General features: G+C 37.2%; 1 protein-coding gene across 8 annotated transcripts in view, besides 1 other annotated feature; it reads right to left on the reverse strand.

Moving 5' to 3' along the window:
- CTNNA3 (catenin alpha 3) overlaps positions 1–24701 on the reverse strand; it is a 1851072-nt gene that overhangs the window by 511627 nt on the left and 1314744 nt on the right. The gene's annotated exons all lie outside the window — the stretch shown is intronic.
- Positions 13955–15154: an enhancer, noted in NCBI's record as "CDK7 strongly-dependent group 2 enhancer chr10:68197862-68199061 (GRCh37/hg19 assembly coordinates)". NCBI's record gives its function as "activates an origin of replication core promoter dependent on BRD2, BRD4, P300/CBP, MED14 and CDK7 cofactors, with strong dependence on CDK7, by STARR-seq in HCT116 cells {active_cell/tissue: HCT116}" and the evidence as "EXISTENCE:reporter gene assay evidence [ECO:0000049][PMID:35650434]".

A 24701-nucleotide genomic window follows, 5' to 3' on the forward strand; every position in this document is an offset into this window, starting at 1 on the left:
TTATTTACAGTATGAGTTCTCCTTCACAGTTAAATATTCCCTGTATTAAAAAAAAATTATTCAGTCCTGCAAGGGCTTTGTTTATTTTACTAAATTTTCAAAGAATCAGCTTTAAGTACTCCATATATTTTTGTTTATTTTACATTAATTTCTTCACAACTTTTTATTTTTATTTTCTTCTACTTTTTCTGGATTAACTCTGTTGTTCTTTCCACAGTTTTCAGAGATAAATGCCTAAATAACTGTGTCCCTTTTTCTTAGTTTTAAATTAAAAAGTTTAATACTATAATTTCCACAGTCATTGCAGATTTAGACGCATTCAGTTGCATTCCACAGGTTGTGAAATGAATTCTCATTGTCTTGCAATATATTTCTAATTTTTCATTATTTTTTCTTTTACATATTAGATATTTATAAATAAATTTGTTTTCACACATAATTTTCTGTATTTTTATTGCTGATATCTAATTTAATTGTATTGTGTTGAGATAATGTAGTTTATAGTGACCTCACTTTTCGAAACTTGAAGAGACTTTCTTCCTTTGTTACATAATATGTAGTCAACTTTCATAACACTGTGTGTGTGAAGAGAAGATACAGTCTCTGTTTGCTACAGGGGTATTAATTAAGACTTTGGGATGACTTGTTCAAATCTTATATATCCTTTTTAAAATTTTTATCTGAGCTTTCAATTTCTGATAGCATTGTACTCAAATATTCTATCATGAGGCTGAGGCAGGAGGATCACTTAAATCCAGGAGTTCAAGACCAGCCTGTGCAACAAAGCAAGACCCATCTCTATAAAAAATTAAAAATTAAAACTCATTTTTCCATCATGAGTTTGAACTTATCTATTTCTCCCTATGATTTGGTTGGTTCTGCTTTGTTCTGAAGCTATCTACAAATAATTGTGAATTATATACTGTGTGGATTGTTCTTTTTATGAAAATATATTGTTATTTAAAAAAATCCTCTATAGATGTTTTTGCCTTAAATTCTTTCTTCTGAAATTAATATTTTGACACAAGTTTTAGTATTTGCATAGTATATCTATATTTAATTTTTCTGTCTTTTTAAAAGATATTTTCCTATAAGATTAGCAGTTAGTTTTTTTAATCTAATATAATACATTTAATATTTTATTAGAAAACTAATAAATTTACAATGAGTATGATTATTGAACATATTTAAACTGATCTCTATGATCTTGTTTTAGTGTTCTGTTTAGAATTCCTTCTTTATTGTTTTTAGGGGAGGATCTTATTTCTTGCTTTTTTGATTTTCATGTGCTCTCTTTTTTCCTTTTATTAATTGTGTAACTGTACACACACTCAGATACGCATAATTTCTGACAGAGATTAAATTTTAGTATGTCCTGCCTACCAACTAAATAAGACAAGAATCTTAGCATATTTAAAGTACTAATGGAACCTTCCTCTTCCTTCTCCCAAGTTCTTTTTCCTAGAATTTTAGTTTTACCTATATACACATTTGTAGTTTTAATGTGCTACATTCTTCATATAAAGATATATATATATACACACACACACATATATACACACACATATATATTCACACACATGCTTTTTATCAAAGTTTAATGTATACAATGTTCATAAAGTATACATCTCACAGCTGTACTGCTCTATAAACTTTCACAAACCAACCACACATATGGAACCAGGACTGAGATTAAGAATACACAACATTACCAGCTCCCCAGAAGCTCCTTCGTTCCCCATACAGACCCACTGCTCTTTTTCCAAGGATGACCACATGCTGACTTCTACCAGCATAAAATTGTTTTTTGTCATTTTGTACTTTATATCACTTAATCATCTACAATGTATTTTTTGTATTTTTTATTCAACCCATTATGTTTGTGAGAATAATTTGTATCATATGACTGTTTCATTCATTTTCATTGTTTTGTAGTATTCCACTGTGTAAATGCAAGGCAGTTTATTTATTAATTCAACTGTTGATGAATATTTACTACTTAGAGCTATTATGGTCATTTCCGTATTTGTTCTTTTTCCAACTTTTGGCTAGTACTTGTCTTTTGGTGCACATATATGCTTTCTATTGGGTGTATACTTGGAATGACTGTGTCATAGGGTACTCAGTTATTGTTTTAATTATACTGTTAAAGTATTGTCCAATTTAACTTGTTTTTAAAAAATAAAACTGTAGATTTATTTAAAGGTAGAAGTGAAGTATATTACTGATACACTTTCAAAAGCTATTGATTACCGTGCTTTCTTTTTTAATTTACTCTTCTTGCTGAAGAAATACTTTGTATTTGTGGATTGTAAACTCCTCATTTTTTGAATATTTGAAAATGTCTCTATTTTGCTTTCACTCTTAAAGGATAGCTTAGCTACAAGTACATTTCTAGGCTGGTAGTGATTTTCACATAAAACTTAATTGCTTTGTTCTTAAGAAGTTAAAAGCCAATCTTTTTTTTTTCCTATGCAAGCAATCTGTTTTTCTTTCTAGTAGCTTTTAAATTGCCTCTTACCATTAACTTCTTTCTTTATTCCATGATATAACCAGTTAAGGATTGTGTTTATTGACCTGTTTGGCCCTCAATGAAGTCTTTCAATTTGAAAGATCATCCCACTCTTCAATTCTATAAAATTATCAGCCATATTTCCTCTGTCTTTAAAAAAAAATGCTTATTCTTTGTGGGATTCCTTTGATACATGTTATAATTTCTCAATCTCTTCGCCAAATACTTTATTTTTTCATATATATTTTAAATCTGTTTTTTCTCTTTGTGCTATATATTTCATGAATTCCTCATTTATATCATTCAAGTAACTAATATTCTGATATTTCATTTAAATTTACTTTGTCTATTAATTTCTTTAAATTTTAGCTTTTTAGTGTCATTCTCTCAAAGGCCCTTTTGTCAATATATACTTTTGTTGATGTTGTTTGATTTTCTATCAAGGACTTCCAGTTTTAAAAATTGTAACTCTACCCTTTAGTTGCATACAGTGTGCTTTGCTCCAATATCCCTCCATAACTGAGAAAATTTTGAATCATGGAGGTAAACACAAGCAAAAACTCCACATTGGAGCCCAGGATACCTTTGGTTCTAATTTCTTCTCACTGCCATGTGTTTCTTGATTTTTATCCTTGCTACTTATTTTCTTTTAAACTTTTTTTTTTGTATTTCTATATGGACTCACAGTACTATCTTGGCTTATATTCTGTTAGTTGTATTTGTATTTTGTACTAGCCTTCCCCTAAGCTTCCTTACGGTTGGAACTGTCTTAACATCTATAGGGTCAGTATCTGGGCACTTCAAACTATACAGTAGGCACTGAAGAAAGATTAGTGATTAGACAAATGAATTTTTGCAATGTGTATAATGTGTTTATCTAACTAGAGGAAATGTACCCAGTTTTCTATTGGTAACATGGACATTTGAAGTCATTTATCATATTTTTGCTCTTGTAAACAGAGGTGGAACAACAATAAGCCATTTCAGCATATGAGTGATATCTGCACTATGACATAAATCCTTTATAGACAAGCAAATGCTGAGAGATTTTGTCACCACCAGACCTGCCCGACAAGGGCTCTGGAAGGAAGTACTAAATATGGAAAGGAACAACCGGTACCAGCCACTGCAAAAACACTCCAAATTGTAAAGACCATCAATTCTAGGAAGAAACTGCATCAACTAATGAGCAAAATAACAAGCTAACATCATAATGACAGGATCAAATTCACACATAACAATATTAACCTTAAACGTAAATGGACTAAATGCTCCAATTAAAAGACACAGACTGGCAAATTGGATAAAGAGTCAAGACCCATCAGTGTGCTGTATTCAGGAAACCCATCTCACGTGCAGAGACACACATGGGCTCAAAATAAAAGGATGGAGGAAGATCTATCAAGCAAATGGAGAACAAAAAAAGGCAGGGGTTGCAATCCTAGTCTCTGATAAAACAGACTTTAAACCAACAAAGATCAAAAGAGACAAAGAAGGCCATTACATAATGGTAAAGGAATCAATTCAACAAGAAGAGCTAACTATCCTAAATATATATGCACCATATAAAGGAGCACCCAGATTCATAAAGCAAGTCCTTAGTGACCTACAAAGAGACTTAGACTCCCACACAATGATAATGGAAGACTTCAACATCCCATTGTCAACATTAGACAGATCAATGAGACAGAAAGTTAACAAGGATATCCAGGAACTGAACTCAGCTCTGCACCAAGCAGACCTAATAGACATCTATAGAACTCTCCACCCCAAATCAACAGAATATACATTCTTTTCAGCACCACACCACATCTATTCCAAAATTGACCACATAGTTGGAAGTAAAGCACTCCTCAGCAAATGTAAAAGAACAGAAATTATAACAAACTGTCTCTCAAACCACAGTGCAATCAAACTAGAAGGCAGGATTAAGAAACTCACTCAAAACTGCTCAACTACATGGAAACTGAACAACCTGCTCCTGAATGACTACTGGGTACATAACGAAATGAAGGCAAAAATAAAGATGTTCTTTGAAACCAACGAGAACAAAGACATAACATACTAGAATATCTGGGACACATTTAAAGCAGTGTGTAGAGGGAAATTTATAGCACTAAATGCCCACAAGAGAAAGCAGGAAAGATCCAAAATTGACACCCTAACATCACAATTAAAAGAACTAGAAAAGCAAGAGCAAACACATTCAAAAGCTAGCAGAAGGCAAGAAATAACTAAGATCAGAGCAGAACTGAAGGAGATAGAGACACAAAAAACCCTTCAAAAAATCAATGAATTCAGGAGCTGGTTTTTTGAAAAGATCAAAAAAATTGATAGACCGCTAGCAAGACTAATAAAGAAGAAAAGAGAGAAGAATCAAATAGATGCAATAAAAAATGATAAAGGGGATATCACCACCGATCCCACAGAAATACAAACTACCGTCAGAGAATACTGTAAACACCTCTACACAAATAAACTAGAAAATCTAGAAGAAATGGATAAAATCCTCTACACATACACCCTCCCAAGACTAAACCAGGAAGAAGTTGAATCTCTGAATACACCAATAACAGACTCTGAAATTGACGCAATAATTAATAGCTTACCAACAAAAAAAGTCCAGGACCAGACGGATTCACAGCCGATTTCTACCAAAGATACAAAGAGGAGCTGGTATCATTCCTTCTGAAACTATTCCAACCAATAGAAAAAGAGGGAATCCTCCCTAACTCATTTTATGAGGCCAGCATCATCCTGATACCAAAGCTGGCAGAGACACAAGCAAAAAAGAGAATTTTAGACCAATATCCCTGATGAACGTCAATGCAAAAATCCTCAATAAAATACTGGCAAACTGAATCCAGCAGCACATCAAAAAGCTTATCCACCACGATCAAGTTGGCTTCATCCCTGGGATGCAAGGCTGGTTCAACATACACAAATCAATAAATGTAATCCAGCACATAAACAGAACCAAAGACAAAAAACACATGATTATTTCGATAGATGCAGAAAAGGTCTTTGACAAAATTCAACAGCACTTCATGCTAAAAACTCTCAATAAATTACGTATTGATGGGAAGTATCTAAAAATAATAACAGCTACATATGACAAACCCACAACCAATATCATACTGAATGGGCAAAACCTGGAAACATTCCCTTTGAAAACTGGCACAAGACAGGGATGCCCTCTCCCACCACTCCTATTCAACATAGTGTTGGAAGTTCTGGCCAGGGCAATCAGGCAGGAGAAGGAAATAAAGGGTATTCAATTAGGAAAAGAGGAAGACAAATTGTCCCTCTTTGCAGATGACATGATTGTATATCTAGAAAACCCCATCATCTCAGTCGAAAATCTCCTTAAGCTGATAAGCAACTTCAGCAATGTCTCAGGATACAAAATCAATGTGCAAAAATCACAAGCATTCCTATACACCATTAACAGACAAACAAAGAGCCAAATCATGAGTGAACTCCCATTCACAATTGCTTCAAAGAGAATGAAATACCTAGGAATCCAACTTACAAGGGATGTGAAGGACCTCTTCAAGGAGAACTACAAACCACTGCTCAAGGAAATAAAGGAGGATACAAACAAATGGAAGAACATTCCATGCTCATGGACAGGAAGAATCAATATCGTGAAAATGGCCATACTGGCCAAGGTAATTTATAGATTCAATGCCATCCCCTCAAGCTACCAATGACTTTCTTCACAGAATTGGAAAAAGCTACTTTAAAGTTCATATGGAACCAAAAAAGAGCCTGCATTGCCAAGTCAATCCTAAGCCAAAAGAACAAAGCTGGAGGCATCTTGCTACCTGACTTCAGACTATACTCCAAGGCTACAGTAACCAAAACAGCATGATACTGGTACCAAAACAGATATACAGACCAATGGAACAGAACAGAGCCCTCAGAAATAATACCACACATCTACAACTATCTGATCTTTGACAAACCTGACAAAAACAAGAAATGAGGAAAGGATTCCTTATTTAATAAATGGTGCTGGGAAAACTGGCTAGCCATATGTAGAAAGCTGAAACTGGATCCCTTCCTTACACCTTATACAAAATTTAATTCAAGATGGATTAAGGACTTAAATGTCAGACCTAAAACCATAAAAACCCTGGAAGAAAACCTAGGCAATACCATTCAGGACATAGGCATGGGCAAGGACTTCATGTCTAAAACACCAAAAGCAATGGCAACAAGAGCCAAAATTGACAAATGGCATCTAATTAAACTAAAGAGCTTCTGCACAGCAAAAGAAACTACCGTCAGAGTGAACAGGCAACCTACAGAATGGGAGAAAATTTTTGCAAACTACTCATCTGACAAAGGGCTAATATCCAGAATCCACAAAGAACTCAAATTTACAAGAAAAAAAAAAACCCATCAAAAAGTGGGCAAAGGATATGAACAGACACTTCTCAAAATAAGACATTTATGCAGCCTACAGACACATGAAAAAATGCTCATCATCACTGGCCATCAGAGAAATGCAAATGAAAACCACAATGAGACATCGTCTCACACCAGTTAGAATGGCGATCATTAAAAAGTCAGGAAACAACAGGAGCTGGAGAGGATGTGGAGAAATAGGAACACTTTTATACTGTTGGTGGGACTGTAAACTAGTTCAACCATTGTGGAAGACAGTGTGGCAATTCCTCAGGGATCCAGAAGTGGAAATATCATTTGGCCCAGCCATCCCATTACTGGGTATATACTCATAGGATTATAAAACATGCTGCTATAAAGACACATGCACATGTATGTTTATTGTGGCACTATTCACAATAGCAAAGACTTGGAACCAACCCAAATGTCCATCAATGATAGACTGGATTAAGAAAATATGGCACATATACACCATGGAATACTATGCAGCCATAAAAAATGATGAGTTCATGTCCTTTGTAGGGACGTGGATGAAGCTGGAAACCATCATTCTCAGCAAACTGTCGCAAGGACAAAAAAACCAAACACCGCATTTTCTCACTCACAGGTGGGAATTGAACAATGAGAACACTTGGACACAGGAAGGGGAACATCACACACTAGGGCCTGTTGTGGGGTGGGGGGAGGGGGGAGGGATAGCATTAGGAGATACACCTAATGTTAAATGACCAGTTAATGGGTGCAGCACACCAACATGGCACATGTATACATATGTAACAAACCTGCACGTTGTGCACATGTACCCTAGAACTTAAAGTATAATAAAAATATATATATAAAATCATTGTATTAATCTGTGAAATATTTTTAAAGAATGTTCAACCTGTTAATATCCAGTTAGAGCAAGGATGTAGAAAAACTAGTACAATATTAAATTAATAAAAATATATCAAAGCAAGGAAAAGTTTGTGTTTTGATCTAGTAACTTCATTTTTTGGAATTCGTAAAATAATTCTGGATATTGAGAAATACTTTATTGAAGTATGGTATTTAATAATAAAAAACAAATTTAGAACAATAAAAGGTTAAGAAAAATATAATTTATTCAGTTAATGGTATAGTTTAAAATCTTAAAAGTGATTGTTACAAAACTAAATTGTATCAAAAGCTAACCTACTCATCCAGAAGAAAGCCACAATTAAATTGCAACATGAAACAATACTTTTAGTATACAAATATTATGGCACTAAAACAGCGATACGCATTTTTTAAAATTATTATTATACTTTAAGTTCTGGGATACGCCAGGTGCGGTGGCTCACGCCTGTAATCCCAACACTTTGGGAAGCCAAGGCAGGTGGATCACGAGGTCAGGAGATCAATACCATCCTGGCTAACACAGTGAAACCCCATCTCTACTAAAAATACAAAAAATTAGCCGGGCGTAGTGGTGGCAGGTGCCTGTAGTTCCAGCTACTTGGGAGGCTGAGGAAGGAGAATGGCATGAACCCGGGAGGTGGAGCTTGCAGTGAGCAGAGATTGCGCCACTGCACTCCAGCCTGGGTGACAGAGCGAGACCATCTCACAGAAAAAAAAAAAAAAAAAGTTCTGGTATACATGTGCAGAACATGCAGCTTTGTTACATAGGCATACTTGTGACATGGTTGTTTGATGCACCCATCAACTCATCATCTACATCAGGTATTTCTCCTAATGCTATCCCTACCCTTGCCCCCAACCCCCAACAGGGTATGTGATGTTCCTTTCCCTGTGCCCATATGTTCTCATTGTTCAATTCCCATTTATTAGTGAGAACATAGGGTGTTTGGTTTTCTGTTCCTTTGTTAGTTTGCTGAGAATGATGGTTTCCAGCTTCATCCATGTCCCTGCAAAGGACAGCAACTCATCCTTTTTTATGGCTGCATAGTATTCTATGGTGTATATGTGCCACATTTTCTTGAGCCAGTCTATCATTGATGGGCATTTGGGTTGGTTCCAAGTCTTTGCTATTGTGAATAGTACTGCAATAAAAATATGTGTACATGTGTTTTTATAGTAGAATGATTTATGATCCTTTGGGTATATACCCACTAATGGGATTGCTGGGTCAAATGGCATTTCTGGTTTTAGATCCCTGAGGAATTGCCACATTGTCTTCCACAATGGTTGAACTAATTTACACTCCCACCAACAGTATAAAAGTGTTCCTATTTCTCCACATCCTTTCCACCGTCTGTTGTTTCCTGACTTTTTAATGATTGCCATTCTAACTGGCATGAAATGGTATCTCATTGTGGGTTTGATTTGCATTTCTCTAATGATCAGTGATAACAAGCTTTTTTTCATGTTTGTTGGCTGCATAAATGTCTTCTTTTGAGAAGTGTCTGTTCATATCCTTTGCCCACTTTTTGATGGGGTTGTTTTTCTCTTGTAAATTCATTTAAGTTCTTTATAGATTCTGGATATTAGCCCTTTGTCAAATGGATAGATTGCAAAAATTTTCTCCCATTCTGTAGGTTGCCTGTTTCCTCTGATGGTAGTTTCTTTCACCGTGCAGAAGCTCTTTAGTTTAATTAGATCCCATTTGTCAATTTTGGCTTTTGTTGCCATTGCTTTGGTGTTTTAGTCATGAAGTCCTTGCCCATGCCTATGTCCTGAATGGTACTGCCTAGGTTTTCTTCTAGGGCTTTTATGGTTTTAGGTCTTACCTTTAAGTCTTTAATTTATCTTGAGTTAATGTTTGTATTAGGTGTAAGGAAGGAATCCAGTTTCAGTTTTCTGCACATGGCTAGCCAGTTTTCCCAACAGCTTTTATTAAATAGGGAATCTTTTCCCCATTGCTTGTTTGTGTCAGGTTTGTCAAAGATCAGATGGCTGTAGATGTGTGGTGTTATTTCTGAGGCCTCTGTTCTGTTCCATTGGTCTATATATCTGTTTTGGTAACAGTATCATGCTGTTTTTGTTACTGCAGCCTTGTAGTGTAGTTTGAAGACAGGTAGCATTATGCCTCCAGCTTTGTTCTTTTTGCTTAGGATTGTCTTGGCTATATGGGCTCTTTTTTGGTTCCATATGAACTTTAAAGTAGTTTTTTTCTAATTCTGTGAAAAAAGTCAATGGTTGCTTAATGGGAATAGCATTGAATCTATAAATTACCCTGGGCAGTATGGCCATTTTCAAGATATTGATTCTTCCTATCTGTGAGCATGGAATGATTTTCTGTTTGTTTGTGTTGTCTCTGATTTCCTTGAGCAGTGGTTTGTAGTTCCCCTTGAAGAGGTCCTTCACATCCCTTGTAACTTGTATTTCTAGGTATTTTATTCTCTTTCTAGCAATTGTGAATAGGAGTTCTCTCATGATTTGGCTCTCTGTTTGTCTATTATAGGTGTATAGGAATGCTTGAGATTTTTGCACATTGATTTTGTATCCTGAGACTCTGCTGAAGTTGCTTATCAGCCTAAGGAGATTTTGGGGCTGAGATGACAGGGTTTTCTAGATATACAATCATGTCATCTGCAAACAGAGACAATTTGACCTCCTCTCCTCCCACTTGAATATACTTTATTTCTATCTCTTGCCTGATTGCCCTGGCCAGAACTTCCAATACTATGTTGAATAGGAGTAGTGAGAGAGGGCATCCTTGCCTGTGCTGGTTTTCAAAGGGAATGCTTCCAGCTTTTACCCATTCAGTATAATATTGGCTGTGAGTTTGTCATATATAGCTCTTATTATTTTGAGATATGTTCCATCAATACCTAATTTATTGAGAGTTTTTAGCATGAAGGGGTGTTGAATTTTATCAAAGGCCTTTTTTGCATCTATTGAGATAATCATGTGTTTTTTTTTCATTGGTTCTGTTTATGTGATGGATTCCATTTATTGATTTGCTTATGTTGAACCATCCTTGCATCCTGGGGTGAAGCTGACTTGATTGTGGTGGATAAGCTTTTTGATGTGCTGCTGGATTCAGTTTTCCAGTATTTTATTGAGAATTTTCACATCGATGTTCATCACGGATATTGGCCTGAAATTTTCTTTTTTTTGTTGTGTTTCTGCCAGGTTTTGGTATCAGGATGATGCTGGCCTCATAAAATGAGTTATTTTATGATAATTTCTTTTCTATTGTTTGAAATAGTTTCAGAAGGAATGGAACCAGCTCTTCTTTGTACCTCTGATAGAATTTGGCTGTGAATCTGTCTGGTCCTGGGCTTTTTTTTGGTTGGTAAGCTATTAATTACTGCCTCAATTTCAGATCTTGTTATTGTTCTGTTCAGAGATTCGACTTTTTCCTGGTTTAGTCTTGGGAGGGTGTATGTGTCCAGGAATTTATCCATTTCTTCCAGATTTTCTAGTTTATTTGCATAGAGGTGTTTATAGTATTCTCTGATGGTAGTTTGTATTTCTATAGTATTCTCTGATGGTAGTTTGTATTTCTGTGGGATCAGTGGTGATATCCCCTTTATCATTTTTTATTGTGTCTATTTGATTCTTCTCTCTTTTCTTCTTTATTAGTCTGGCTAGTGGTCTATCTGTTTTGTTGATGTTTTCAAAAAACCAGCTCCTGGATTCATTGATTTTTTGAAAGGTTTTTTGTGTCTCTATCTCCTTCAGTTCTGCTCTGATCTTAGTTATTTCTTGTCTCCTGTTAGCTTTTGAATTTGTTTGCTATTGCTTCTCTAGTTCTTTTCATTGTGATGTTAGGGCGTCAAATTTAGATCTTTCCTGCTTTCTCCTGTGGGCACTTAGTGCTATAAATTTCCCTCTAAACACTGCTTTAGCTGTGTCCCAGAGATTCTGGTATGTTGTGTCTTTGTTCTTATTGGTTTCAAAGAACTTATTTATTTCTGCCTTAATTTATTTACCCAATAGTCATTCAGGAGCAGGTTGTTCAGTTTCCATGTAGTTGTGCGGTTTTGAGTGAGTTTCTTAATCCTGAGTTCTAATTTGATTGCACTGTGGTCTGAGATACTGTTTGTTATTATTTCCATTTATTTGCATTTGCTGAGGAGTGTTTTACTTTCAATTATGTGGTCAATTTTAGAATAAGTATGATTTGGTGCTGAGAAGAATGTATATTCTGTTGATTTGAGGTGGAGAGTTTGGTAGATGTCTATTAGGTCTGCTCGGACCTGAGCTGAGTTCACATCCTGAATATCCTTGTTAATTTTCTGTCTCGTTTATCTGTCTAATATGACAGTGGGGTGTAAAAGTCTCCCACTATTATTGTTTTGGAGTCTAAGTCTTTTTTTAGGTCTCTAAGAACTTGCTTTATGAATCTGGATGCTCCTGTATTGTGTGCACATATATTTAAGATATTTAACTCTTCTTGTTGCATTGATCCCTCTACCATTATGTAATGCCCTTCTTTGTCTTTTTTATCTTTGTTGGTTTAAAGTCTGGGTTATCAGAGACTAGGACTACAATCCCTGCTTTTTTTTTTTTTTTTTTTTTTTTTGCTTTCTATTTGCTTGGTAAATCTTTCTCAATCCCACTATTTTTAGCCTTTGTTTGTCTTTGCATGTGAGATAAGTCTCCTGAATACAGGACACCTATGGGTCTTGACTCTTTATCCAATTTGTCAGTCTGTGTCTTTTAATTGGGGCATTTAGTCAATTTACACTTAAAGTTATTGTTACATGTGAATTTGATCCTGTCATCATGATGCTAGCTGGTTATTTTGCCCATTAATTGATGCAGCTTCTTCACAGTGCCGATGGTCTTTACAATTTGATATGTTTTTGCAGTGGCTGGTACCAGTTTTTCCTTGCCATGTTTAGTGCTTTCTTCAGGAGCTCTTGTAAGGCAGACCTGGTGGTGACAAAATCTCTCAGCATTTGCTTGTCTGTAAAGGATTTTATTTCTCCTTCACTTATGAAGCTTAGTTTGGCTGGATAAAAAATTTTGGGTTGAAAATTCTTTTCTTTAAGAATGTTGAATATCAGCCCCCACCCTCTTCTGGCTTGTAGGGTTTCTGCCAAGAGATCCCCTGTTAGTCTGATGTGCTTCTCTTTATGGGTAACCCCACGTTTCTCTCTGGCTGCTCTTAACATTTTTTCCTTCATTTCAACCTTGGTGAATCTGACAATTATGTGTCTTGGGGTTGCTCTTCTCAAGGATTATCTTTGTGGTGTTCTCTGTATTTCCTAAATTTGAATGTTGGCCTGCCTTGCTAGGTTGGGGAAGTTCTCCTGGATAACATCCTGAAGCGTGTTTTCCAACTTGGTTCCAATCTCCCTGTTACTTTCAGGTACACCAATCAAAAAAGTTTGGTCTTTTCACATAGTCTCATATTTCTTGGAGGCTTTGTTAATTCCTTTTCATTCTTTTTTCTCTAATCTTGTCTTTATGCTTTATTTCATTAAGTTGATCTTCAATCTCTGATATCCTTTCTTCCACTTGATGGATTTGGCTATTGATACTTGTGTATGCTTCACAAAGTTCTCATGCTGTGTTTTTCAGCTCCTTCAGGTCATTTATGTTCTTCTCTAAACTGCTTATTCCAGTTAGCAGTTCCTAGGGAGACCTAGGGGAATCTTTTATCAAGGTTCTTAGCTTCCTTGCATTTGGTTAGAACATGCTTCTTTTGCTCAGAGGAGTTTGTTATTACCCACCTTCCGAAGCCTACTTCTGTCAATTCATCAAACTCATTCTCTGTCTAATTTTGTTCCCTTGCTGGCGAGGAGTTGTGATCCTTTGGAAGAGACATTCTGGTTTTTGGAATTTTCAGCCTTTTTGAGCTGCTTTTTCCTCATCTTTGTGGATTTATCTACCTTTGGTCTTTGACGTTGGTGATCTTTGGATGGGGTTTTTGCGTGGGTGTCCTTTTTGTTGATGTTGATGCTATTGCTTTCTGTTTGTTAGTTTTCCTTCTAACAGTCAGGCCCCTCTTCTGCAGGTCTGCTGGAGTTTGCTGGAGGTCCACTCCAGACCGTTTGCCTACGTATCACCAGTGGAGGCTGCAGAACAGCAAAGAGTGCTGCCTGCTCCTTCCTCTGGAAGCTTTATTCCAGAGGGGCACCTGCCAGATGCCAGCCAGAGCTCTCCTGTATGAGATGTCTGTTGACCCCTGCTGGGAGGTGTTTCCTAGTCAGGAGGCACCGGGTTCAGGGACCCACTTGAGGAGGCAGTCTGTCCCTTAGCAGAGCTCAAGCTCTGTGCTGGGAGATCCACTGCTGTCTTCAGAGCCAGTAGACAGAAACGTTTAAGTCTGGTGAAGCTGTGCTCACAGCTGCCCCTTCCCCCAGGTGCTCTGTCCCAGGGAGTTGAGAGTTTTATTTATAAGCCCCTGACTGTGGCTTCTGCCTTTCTTTCAGAGATGCCCTGCCCAGAAAGGAGGAATCTAGAGAGGCAGTCTGGCTACAGAGGCTTTGCTGCACTTTGGTGGGCCCCACCCAGTTTGAACTTCCAGGTGGCTTTGTTTACACTGTGAGGGGAAAACTGCCTACTCAAGCCTCAGTAATGGTGGATGCCTCTCACCCACACCAAGCTGGAGCATCCCAGGTCAACTTCAGACTCCTGTGCTGACAGCGAGAATTTCAAGCCATGGAGCTTGTTGGGCTCCATGGGGGTGGGATCCGCTGAGCTAGACCACTTGACTCCCTGGCTTCAGCCCCCTTTCCAGCGGAGTAAATGGTTCTGTCTTGCTAGCATTCCAGGTACCACTGAGGTATGAAAAAAACTCCTGCAGCTAGGTCAGTGTCTGCCCAAACAGCTGCCCAGTTTCGTGCTTGAAATCTAGGGCCCTGGGAGTGTAGGCACCCAAAGGAATCTCCTGATCTGTAGGTTGCAAAGACCATGGGAAAAGCAAAGTATATGGGCCAGAGTGCACTGTTCCTCAAGGCACAGTCCCTCATGGCTTCCCTTGGCTAGGGGAGGGAGTTACCTGACCCCTTACACTTCCCGGGTGAGGTGATGCCCCACCCTGCTTCGGGTCACCCTCCATGGGCTGCACCCACTGTGTAACCAGTCCCAATGAGATGAGTCAGGTACCTCAGTTGGAAATGCAGAAATCACCCACCTTCTGCATTGATCTCCCTGGGAGCTGAAGACCGGAGCTGTTCCTATTCAGCCATCTTCTATTCCTCATGATACACATTTTTAATATAATGGTTGTAATCTAATTATAACTTTATAAGATAAAATACTTATAAAGAAATACTTCATAAAGTACAATATATCAAATAGTACTATTTGTATTTGTATAATGAGATTATAAATTTATATTTTCTAATCTTTTTCTTAAAAAAAGGATACTATTTACATCATCACAACAATGACCCTATGAAGAACACACATTAAAAAAGCTGATAGGTTAGCATGATAAAAAATAAAGATTTGAATTTTAATCACAAATTTTGTAGAGAGTAGTTGTTACCTGAGGATTATGATACAGAGGTTAGCATGTGCATATTTCTGTAGATTTTGGTTTTCAGATTCTCTGACTTGTGATCTCAAAGATTCCTTATGATAAATAAAATAATTAAGCAAATGAAAAATGAAGCAAATAAAAATGGTAATATAACTTTTTACATAGCATGTATGTTACACATTAGATATAGCATAATAGACTATTTCAGAGGAATATCCGGCTAATAAATCAAAATAGTAATTATATAAATGGTTTAAATTAGGTCACTGGAGGGAAAAATAAAAATCACAAAATAGATTCATTTTTACCTCAACAATAAACGAGTTCATCAATATGTTACACTAGGTTATGAAGGACTATTAGATCATATATAAGGGCTGTTTATAAAATGTCAACAAAAAAATCAAATCACAGGTTTTTAGAAGTAGAAGCTGGTCAATACCTCAAAGAAAATCTGTATTACAACTGAAATAAGAATTAATATTCTTCCCATTAAATCACAAAGCCTTTTTATTTCATTCCTATAAAATCACATGAATGTGTAATTGAATATCACAATCCTTTATAACCTCAGGCAAGCTTCTTAATGTCTCAGAACCATACTCTGTTATCAGTTTCTCATATTGATAGCATTTATGTTATTGCCAGCTTGGGCTATTAAAACAGTATTCCAATAAATATTATTGTTCACATAGCTTTTGCAATTATATCTCCACTTTAGATATTTGAAGGTGAAATTAATGCGAGCCAAAATGGGCTCAATGTGACTGTCAGGAAAAATGATATCTTTGTAATATAATCAATTTTTCTTTGATTATTAGTACAGTTGAGCATATATATGTTTATTTATATAAATCAGGGCATTTCTTAATATATTCATTTTCTATTTCAGATTTGCCTATTTTTCTAGTGAAATTTTTTTATTGATTTGTAATATTTTGTATATAAAACCTGAAACACTTTAAACACCATATGTGCTATATGCATGGTATTTTCTCTGTGTCTGCAGCTTATCTTTTCACTTAATGTTTATGTTATCTTCTTCATATCAAGTTTTAAATGCTGACAAAATAAAATCTGTCAAATTTTCCTTAGGGCCTCAAGCTCTTACGATGATCAAAATGACCAATCTTTAGTGACTTTTGTAACTATACACTACCCATCTGACTCCAGATTATATGCTTTTAACCACTTCACTATTCTTGTTTGAAACTTGAGAATAGGGTAGTAGTTAAAAGCATCAAATCTGGAGCCAGATTATGTAGGTTTAAATCCTGGGGCACCCTCATCTGACTAGCTCTACGACATGAAATGAGTTACTCAACTTTCCTGTGTACAGTTTCTTGTTTATCAGTTGAGTAAATATAATTAAAGAGATTAGATTAGGGCCTGGCACACAATAAGTGCTAAATAAACATTTGTTATTATTTGTTCCCTCCAAACATGTCTGTTTCTCTAAGTAGATGTTTTTGTATAAATTCCAACAATGTGATGTTTATATCAAGATTTTATTCCATTTTTCTCATTTATTAATAACTGTAAGTGAGTTCCTACTATGTACTTCTCTGGCACCAAGCCAGGCACAAAAAACAGAGTAATTAATAAATATTAGGGTTGGGTGCCATGGCTCACACCTGTAGTCTCAACACCTGGGAGGCCAAGGTGGGAGCATTGTTTGAGGCCAGGAGTTTGAGACCAGACTTAGCAACACAGCAAGACCCTGTCTTTACAAAATATTTAATCATTTTAAAATAATTTTAAAAAATCAACACTAATGGTTGCTTTTCTGATGGTGCTTGCTGTCTAATACAAGAAAGTAAAATTGTAATGTGACAATTGACAGAAAAGAAAGATAAAAATGTTATGATAGATTGATCTGTTCAAGACTGGTAAGTTGCTTTCCTGAAGAAATAATGCTTAAATTGAAATATAAGGAATAAATAAAAATTTCTCTGGAGAAAAGGGAAAGGAAGTTCATTTGTACAAATTTAGCAAGGTAAAATTAATAAAATTACATTTTCAATTTATTTTGAAATTAGCCTTGCAAATACGAAGTAATTTTTAAGCAAAAGTTCTAAATATTGCTTTGCTATTCCAAGACTAAATAATTAAGAACTCTTCCAATTCCAGTTATTTGTGTGAATTACATAATGCAAACATTTGTAAAGAACAGATTGCTTTTAGAAAGTCTGATCTTGAATTTATTTTTCTTCGTTTACTCTCTTGCAGACATATCCATTGTATGCTTTCAAAACATTCTTATATTTTTCCAGAATATAAAAACACTGTGTGCAAATGTTCAATATACATGTAGCTGGAAATAGATAACATTTGGGTGGATGGCAATCTAATGTATACAAAGAGTAGATTCACAGCTGTGTATTTGCCAGATTAGAAATAAGGCTAGACTTCTGATTTCTGGAGAATTTTGGTAAAGCAAAATATAAGAGAAAGAGGTTTAGACTTGTTCAGTGCTATCTAAAATAGAAACTCTTGCAGAAAAAGAATTACATTTACTTAATCCATCCTTTCCATAATTATTCACACTGAAACTACTGAAATAGTATGTAAAATATTAATAGTACATTGTTTGAAAACCTATACAGTCAACCCTCTTTCTCCTGGGGTTCTGCATCCATGGCTGCTTCTGTATTGAACACGTACAGACATTTTTCTTGTAACTATTTCCTAAAAAATATAGTATAACTATTTACACAGCATTTACAGTATATTAGTTATTATAAGTAACCCTGTAGCAATTTAAAGTATACAGGGAGATATGCATAGGTTATATGCCAATAGTACACTATTTTATATAAGGAACTTGAACATCCATGGATTTTGGCATCTGCAGAAGGTCCTGGAACCAACCCCCCATGGATACCGAGGGATGGCTGTATAATATGGATTAGGTTTTTTTTTCCTAAAGTTCTTCAAAAGCTCTTGACCTCAAGCTTTTTAAATAAAACCTACATAAAATATTCTCAATTAAAATAACTGTAAATATATTTTGGAGCAGTACAAATTGCTTGGCATTTTACTTTTAAAACCTAAAGGCTGAATTCTATGTTAATAGATTACAACATAAAACAGATTCACTTATATGAAACAAGCAAGTTTTTTCTCATATTGTTTGCACCAAAGAAAGTTGCATTGATGAATAGAAAAAAAATAGCTTTATTCCCCTACTTCCTCAACACAATAAGAATGAAAGACAACTAAAATTAAACTTGTGGTGGAGCCAAGATGGCCGAATAGGAACAGCTCCGGTCTACAGCTCCCAGCGTGAGTGACGCAGAAGATGGGTGATTTCTGCATTTCCATCTGAGGTACTGGGTTCATCTCACTAGGGAGTGCCAGACAGTGGGTGCAGGACAGTGGGTGCAGTGCACCATGCACGAGCCAAAGCAGGGTGAGGCACTGCCTCACTCGGGAAGCGCAAGGGGTCAGGGGGTTCCCTTTCCTAGTCAAAGAAAGGGGTGACAGACGTCACGTGGAAAATCAGGTCACTCCCACCCTAATACTGCACTTTTCCAATGGGCTTAAAAAACAGCACACCAGGAGATTATATCCCGCATATGGCTCAGAGGGTCCTATGCCCACAGAGTCTCACTGATTGCTAGCACGGCAGTCTGAGATCAAACTGCAAGGCCACAGGGAGGCTGGGGGAGGGGCGCCTGTCATTGCCCAGGCTTGATTAGGTAAACAAAGCAGCGGGGAAGCTCGAACTGGGTGGAGCCCACCACAGCTCAAGGAGGCCTGCCTGCCTCTGTAGGCTCCACCTCTGGGGGCAGGGCATAGACAAACAAAAAGACAGCAGTAACCTCTGCAGACTTAAATGTCCCTGTCTGACAGCTTTGAAGAGAGTAATGGTTCTCCCAGCACGCAGCTGGAGATCTGAGAACAGGCAGACTGCCTCCTTAAGTGGGTGTCTGACCCCCGAGCAGCCTAACTGGGAGGCGCCCCCCAGTAGGGGCAGACTGACACCTCACACGGCCGGGTATTCCTCTGGGACAAAGCTTCCAGAGGAACGATCAGGCAGCAGCATTTGCGGGTCACCAAAATCCGCTGTTCTACAGCCACTGCTGTTCTGCAGCCACCACGGCTGACACCCAGGCAAAAAGGGTCTGGAGTGGACCTCTAGCAAACTCCAACAAACCTGCATCTGAGGGTCCTGTCTGTTAGAAGGAAAACTAACAAACAGAAAGGACATCCACACCAAAAACCCATCTGTACGTTGCCATCATCAAAGACCAAAAGTAGATAAAAACACAAAGATGGGGAAAAAACAGAGCAGAAAAACCAGAAACTCTAAAAAGCAGAGCACCTCTCCTCCTCCAAAGGAACACAGCTCCTCACCAGCAACGGAACAAAGCTGGACGGAGAATGACATTGATGAGTTGAGAGAAGAAGGCTTCAGACGATCAAACTACTCCGAGCTACAGGAGGAAATTCAAACCAATGGCAAAGAAGTTAGAAACTTTGAAAAAAGATTAGACGAATGGATAACTAGAATAACCAATGCAGAGAAGTCCTTAAAGGAGCTGATGGAGTTGAAAGCCAAGGCTCAAGAACTACGTGAAGAACGCAGAAGCCTCAGGAGCCGATGCGATCAACTGGAAGAAAGGGTATCAGTGATGCAAGATGAAATGAATGAAATGAAGTCAGAAGGGAAGTTTAGAGAAAAAAGAATAAGAAGAAACGAACAAAGCCTCCAAGAAATATGGGACTATGTGAAAAGACCAAATCTATATCTGATTGGTGTACCTGAAAATGACGGGGAGAATAGAACCAAGTTGGAAAACACTCTGCAGGATATTATCCAGGAGAACTTCCCCAGTCTAGCAAGGCAGGCCAACATTCAGATTCAGGAAATACAGAGAACACCACAAAGATACTCCTCGAGAAGAGCAACTCCAAGACACATAATTGTCAGATTCACCAAAGTTGAAATGAAGGAAAAAATGGTAAGGGCAGCCAGAGAGAAAGGTTGGGTTACCCACAAAGGGAAAGCCATCAGACTAACAGTAGATCTCTTGGCAAAAACTCTACAAGCCAGAAGAGAGTGGGGGCCAACATTTCACATTCTTAAAGAAAAGAATTTTCAACCCAGAATTTCATATCCAGCCAAACTAAGCTTCATAAGTGAAGGAGAAATAAAATACTTTACAGACAAGCAAATGCTGAGAGATTTTGTCACCACCAGGCCTGCCCTAAAAGAGCTCCTGAAGGAAGCACTAAACATGGAAAGCAACAACCGGTACCAGCCACTGCAAAAACATACCAAAATGTAAAGACCATCAAGGCTAGGAAGAAACTGCATCAACTAACGAGCAAAATAACCAGCTAACATCATAATGAACAGGACCAAATTCACACATAACACTTAACTTTAAATGTAAATGGGCTAAATGCTCCAATTAAAAGACACAGACTGGCAAATTGGATAAAGAGTCAAGACCCATCAGTGTGCTGTATTCAGGAAACCCATCTCACGTGCAGAGACACGCATGGGCTCAAAATAAAAGGATGGAGGAAGATCTACCAAGCAAATGGAAAACAAAAAAAGGCAGGGGTCGCAATCCTAGTCTCTGATAAAACAGACTAAACCAACAAAGATCAAAAGAGACAAAGAAGGCCATTACATAATGGTAAAGGAATCAATTCAACAAGAAGAGCTAACTATCCTAAATATACATGCACCCAATACAGGAGCAACCAGATTCATAAAGCAAGTCCTTAGTGACCTACAAAGAGACTTAGACTCCCACACAATAATAATGGGAGACATTAACACCCCACTGTCAACATTAGACAGATTAACGAGACAGAAAGTTAACAAGGATACCCAGGAATTGAACTCAGCTCTGCACCAAGCAGACCTAATAGACATCTACAGAACTCTCCACCCCAAATCAACAGAATATACATTTTTTTTCAGCACCACACCACACCTATTCCAAAATTGACCACATAGTTGGAAGTAAAGCACTCCTCAGCAAATGTAAAAGAACAGAAATTATAACAAACTGTCTCTCAAACCACAGTGCAATCAAACTAGAAGGCAGGATTAAGAAACTCACTCAAAACTGCTCAACTACATGGAAACGGAACAACTTGCTCCTGAATGACTACTGGGTACATAACAAAATGAAGGCAGAAATAAAGATGTTCTTTGAAACCAACGAGAACAAAGACACAACATACCAGAATCTCTGGGACACGTTCAAAGCAGTGTGTAGAGGAAAATTTATAGCACTAAATGCCCACAAAAGAAAGCAGGAAAGATCCAAAATTGACACCCTAACATCACAATTAAAAGAACTAGAAAAGCAAGAGCAAACACATTCAAAAGCTAGCAGAAGGCAAGAAATAACTAAAATCAGAGCAGAACTGAAGGAAATAGACACATAAAAAAACTTTCAAAAAATTAATGAATCCAGGAGCTGGTTTTTTGAAAAGATCAACAAAATTGATAGACCGCTATCAAGGCTAAGAAGGAAGAAAAGAGAGAAGAATCAAATAGATGCAATAAAAAATGATAAAGGGGATATCACTACCAATCCCACAGAAATACAAACTACCATCAGAGAATACTATTAACACCTCTAAGCAAATAAACTAGAAAATCTAGAAGAAATGGATAAATTCCTTGACACATACACCCTCCCAAGACTAAACCAGGAAAAAGTTGAATCTCTGAATAGACTAATAACAGGCTCTGAAACTGTGGCAATAATCAATAGCTTACAAACCAAAAAAAGTCCAGGACCAGATGGATTCACAGCGGATTTCTACCAAAGATACAAAGAGGAGCTGGTACCATTCCTTCTGAAACTATTCCAACCAATAGAAAAAGAGGGAATCCTCCCTAACTCATTTTATGAGGCCAGCATCATCCTGATACCAAAGCCTGGCAGAGACACAACCAAAAAAGGTAATTTTAGACCAATATCCTTGATGAACATTGATGCAAAAATCCTCAATAAAATACTGGCAAACCGAATCCAGCAGCACATCAAAAAGTTTATCCACCATGATCAAGTGGGCTTCATCCCTGGGATGCAAGGCTGGTTTAACATTCACAAATCAATAAATGTAATCCAGCATATAAACAGAACCAAAGACAAAAACCACATGATTATCTCAATAGATGCAGAAAAGGCCTTTGACAAAATCCAAAAACCCTTCATGCTAAAAACTCTCAATAAATTACGTATTGATGGGACGTATCTAAAAATAATAAGAGCTATCTATGACAAACCCACAGCCAATATCATACTGAATGGGCAAAATCTGGAAGCATTCCCTTTGAAAACTGGCACAAGACAGGGATGCCCTCTCTCACCACTCCTATTCAACATAGTGTTGGAAGTTCTGGCCAGGGCAATCAGGCAGCAGAAGGAAATAAAGGGTATTCAATTAGGAAAAGAGGAAGTCAAATTGTCCCTGTTTGCAGATGACATTATTGTATATCTAGAAAACCCCATCGTCTCAGCCCAAAATCTCCTTAAGCTGATAAGCAACTTCAGCAAAGTCTCAGGATACAAAATCAATGTGCAAAAATCACAAGCATTCTTATACACCAATAACAGACAAACAGAGAGCCAAATCATGAGTGAACTCCCATTCACAATTGCTTCAAAGAGAATAAAATACCTAGGAATCCAACTTACAAGGGATGTGAAGGGCCTCTTCAAGGAGAACTACAAACCACTGCTCAATGAAATAAAAGAGGATACAAACAAATGGAAGAATATTCCATGCTCATGGGTAGGAAGAATCAATATCGTGAAAATGGCCATACTGGCCAGGTAATTTATAGATTCCATGCCATCCTCATCAAGCTACCAATGACTTTCTTCACAGAATTGGAAAAAACTACTTTAAAGGTCATATGGAACCAAAAAAGAGCCCGCATCGCCAAGTCAATCCTAAGCCAAAAGAAGAAAGCTGGAGGCATCACACTACCTGACTTCAGACTATACTCCAAGGCTACAGTAACCAAAACAGCATGGTACTGGTACCAAAACAGAGATATAGATCAATGGAACAGAACAGAGCCCTCAGAAATAATGCCACATATCTACAACCCTCTGATCTTTGACAAACCTGAAAAAAACAAGCAATGGGGAAAGCATTCCCTATTTAATAAATGGTGCTGGGAAAACTGGCTAGCGATATGTAGAAAGCTAAAACTGGATCCCTTCCTTACACCTTATACAAAAATTAATTCAAGATGGATTAAAGACTTAACATGTTAGACCTAAAACCATAAAAATCCTAGAAGAAAACCTAGGCAATACCATTCAGGACATAGGCATGGGCAAGGACTTCATGTCTAAAACACCAAAAGCAATGGCAACAAAAGCCAAAATTGACAAATGGGGTCTAATTAAACTAAAGAGCTTCTGCACAGCAAAAGAAGCTACCATCAGAGTGAACAGGCAACCTACAAAATAGGAGAATATTTTCGCAACCTACTCATCTGACAAAGGGCTAATATCCAGAATCTACAATGAACTCAAACAAATTTACAAGAGAAAAACAAACAACCCCATCAAAAAGTGGGCGAAGGATATGAGCAGATACTTCTCAAAAGAAGACATTTATGCAGCCAAAAAACACATGAAAAAATGTTCATCATCACTGGCCATCAGAGAAATGCAAATCAAAACCACAATGAGATACCATCTCACACCAGTTAGAATGGCAATCATTAAAAAGTCAGGAAACAACAGGTGCTGGAGAGGATGTGGAGAAATAGGAACACTTTTACACTGTTGGTGGGACTGTAAACTAGTTCAACCATTGTGGAAGTCAGTGTAGTGATTCCACAGGGATCTAGAACTAGAAATATCATTTGACCCAGCCATCCCATTACTGGGTATATACCCAAAGGATTATAAATCATGCTGCTATAAAGACACATGCACACATATGTTTATTGCGGCACTATTCACAATAGCAAAGACTTGGAACCAACCCAAATGTCCAACAGCGATAGACTGGATTAAGAAAATGTGGCACATATACACCATGGAATACTATGTAGCCATAAAAAATGATGAGTTCATGTCCTTTGTAGGGACATGGATGAAACTGGAAACCATCATTCTCAGCAAACTCTCGCAAGGACAAAAAACCAAACACTGCATGTTCTCACTCATAGGTGGGAATTGAACAATGAGAACACACGGACACAGGAAGGGGAACATCACACTTCAAGGACTGTTGTGGGGTGGGGGAAGGGGGGTGGGATAGCATTAGGAGATATATCTGATGTTAAATGACGAGTTAATGGGTGCAGCACACCAACATGGCACATGTATACATATGTAACAAACCTGCATATTGTCCACATGTACCCTAAAACTTAAAGTGTAATAATAATAAAATTAAAAAATAAAT

This window comes from Homo sapiens, chromosome 10 (assembly GCF_000001405.40).
Source record: "Homo sapiens chromosome 10, GRCh38.p14 Primary Assembly".
Lineage (NCBI taxonomy): Eukaryota > Metazoa > Chordata > Mammalia > Primates > Hominidae > Homo > Homo sapiens.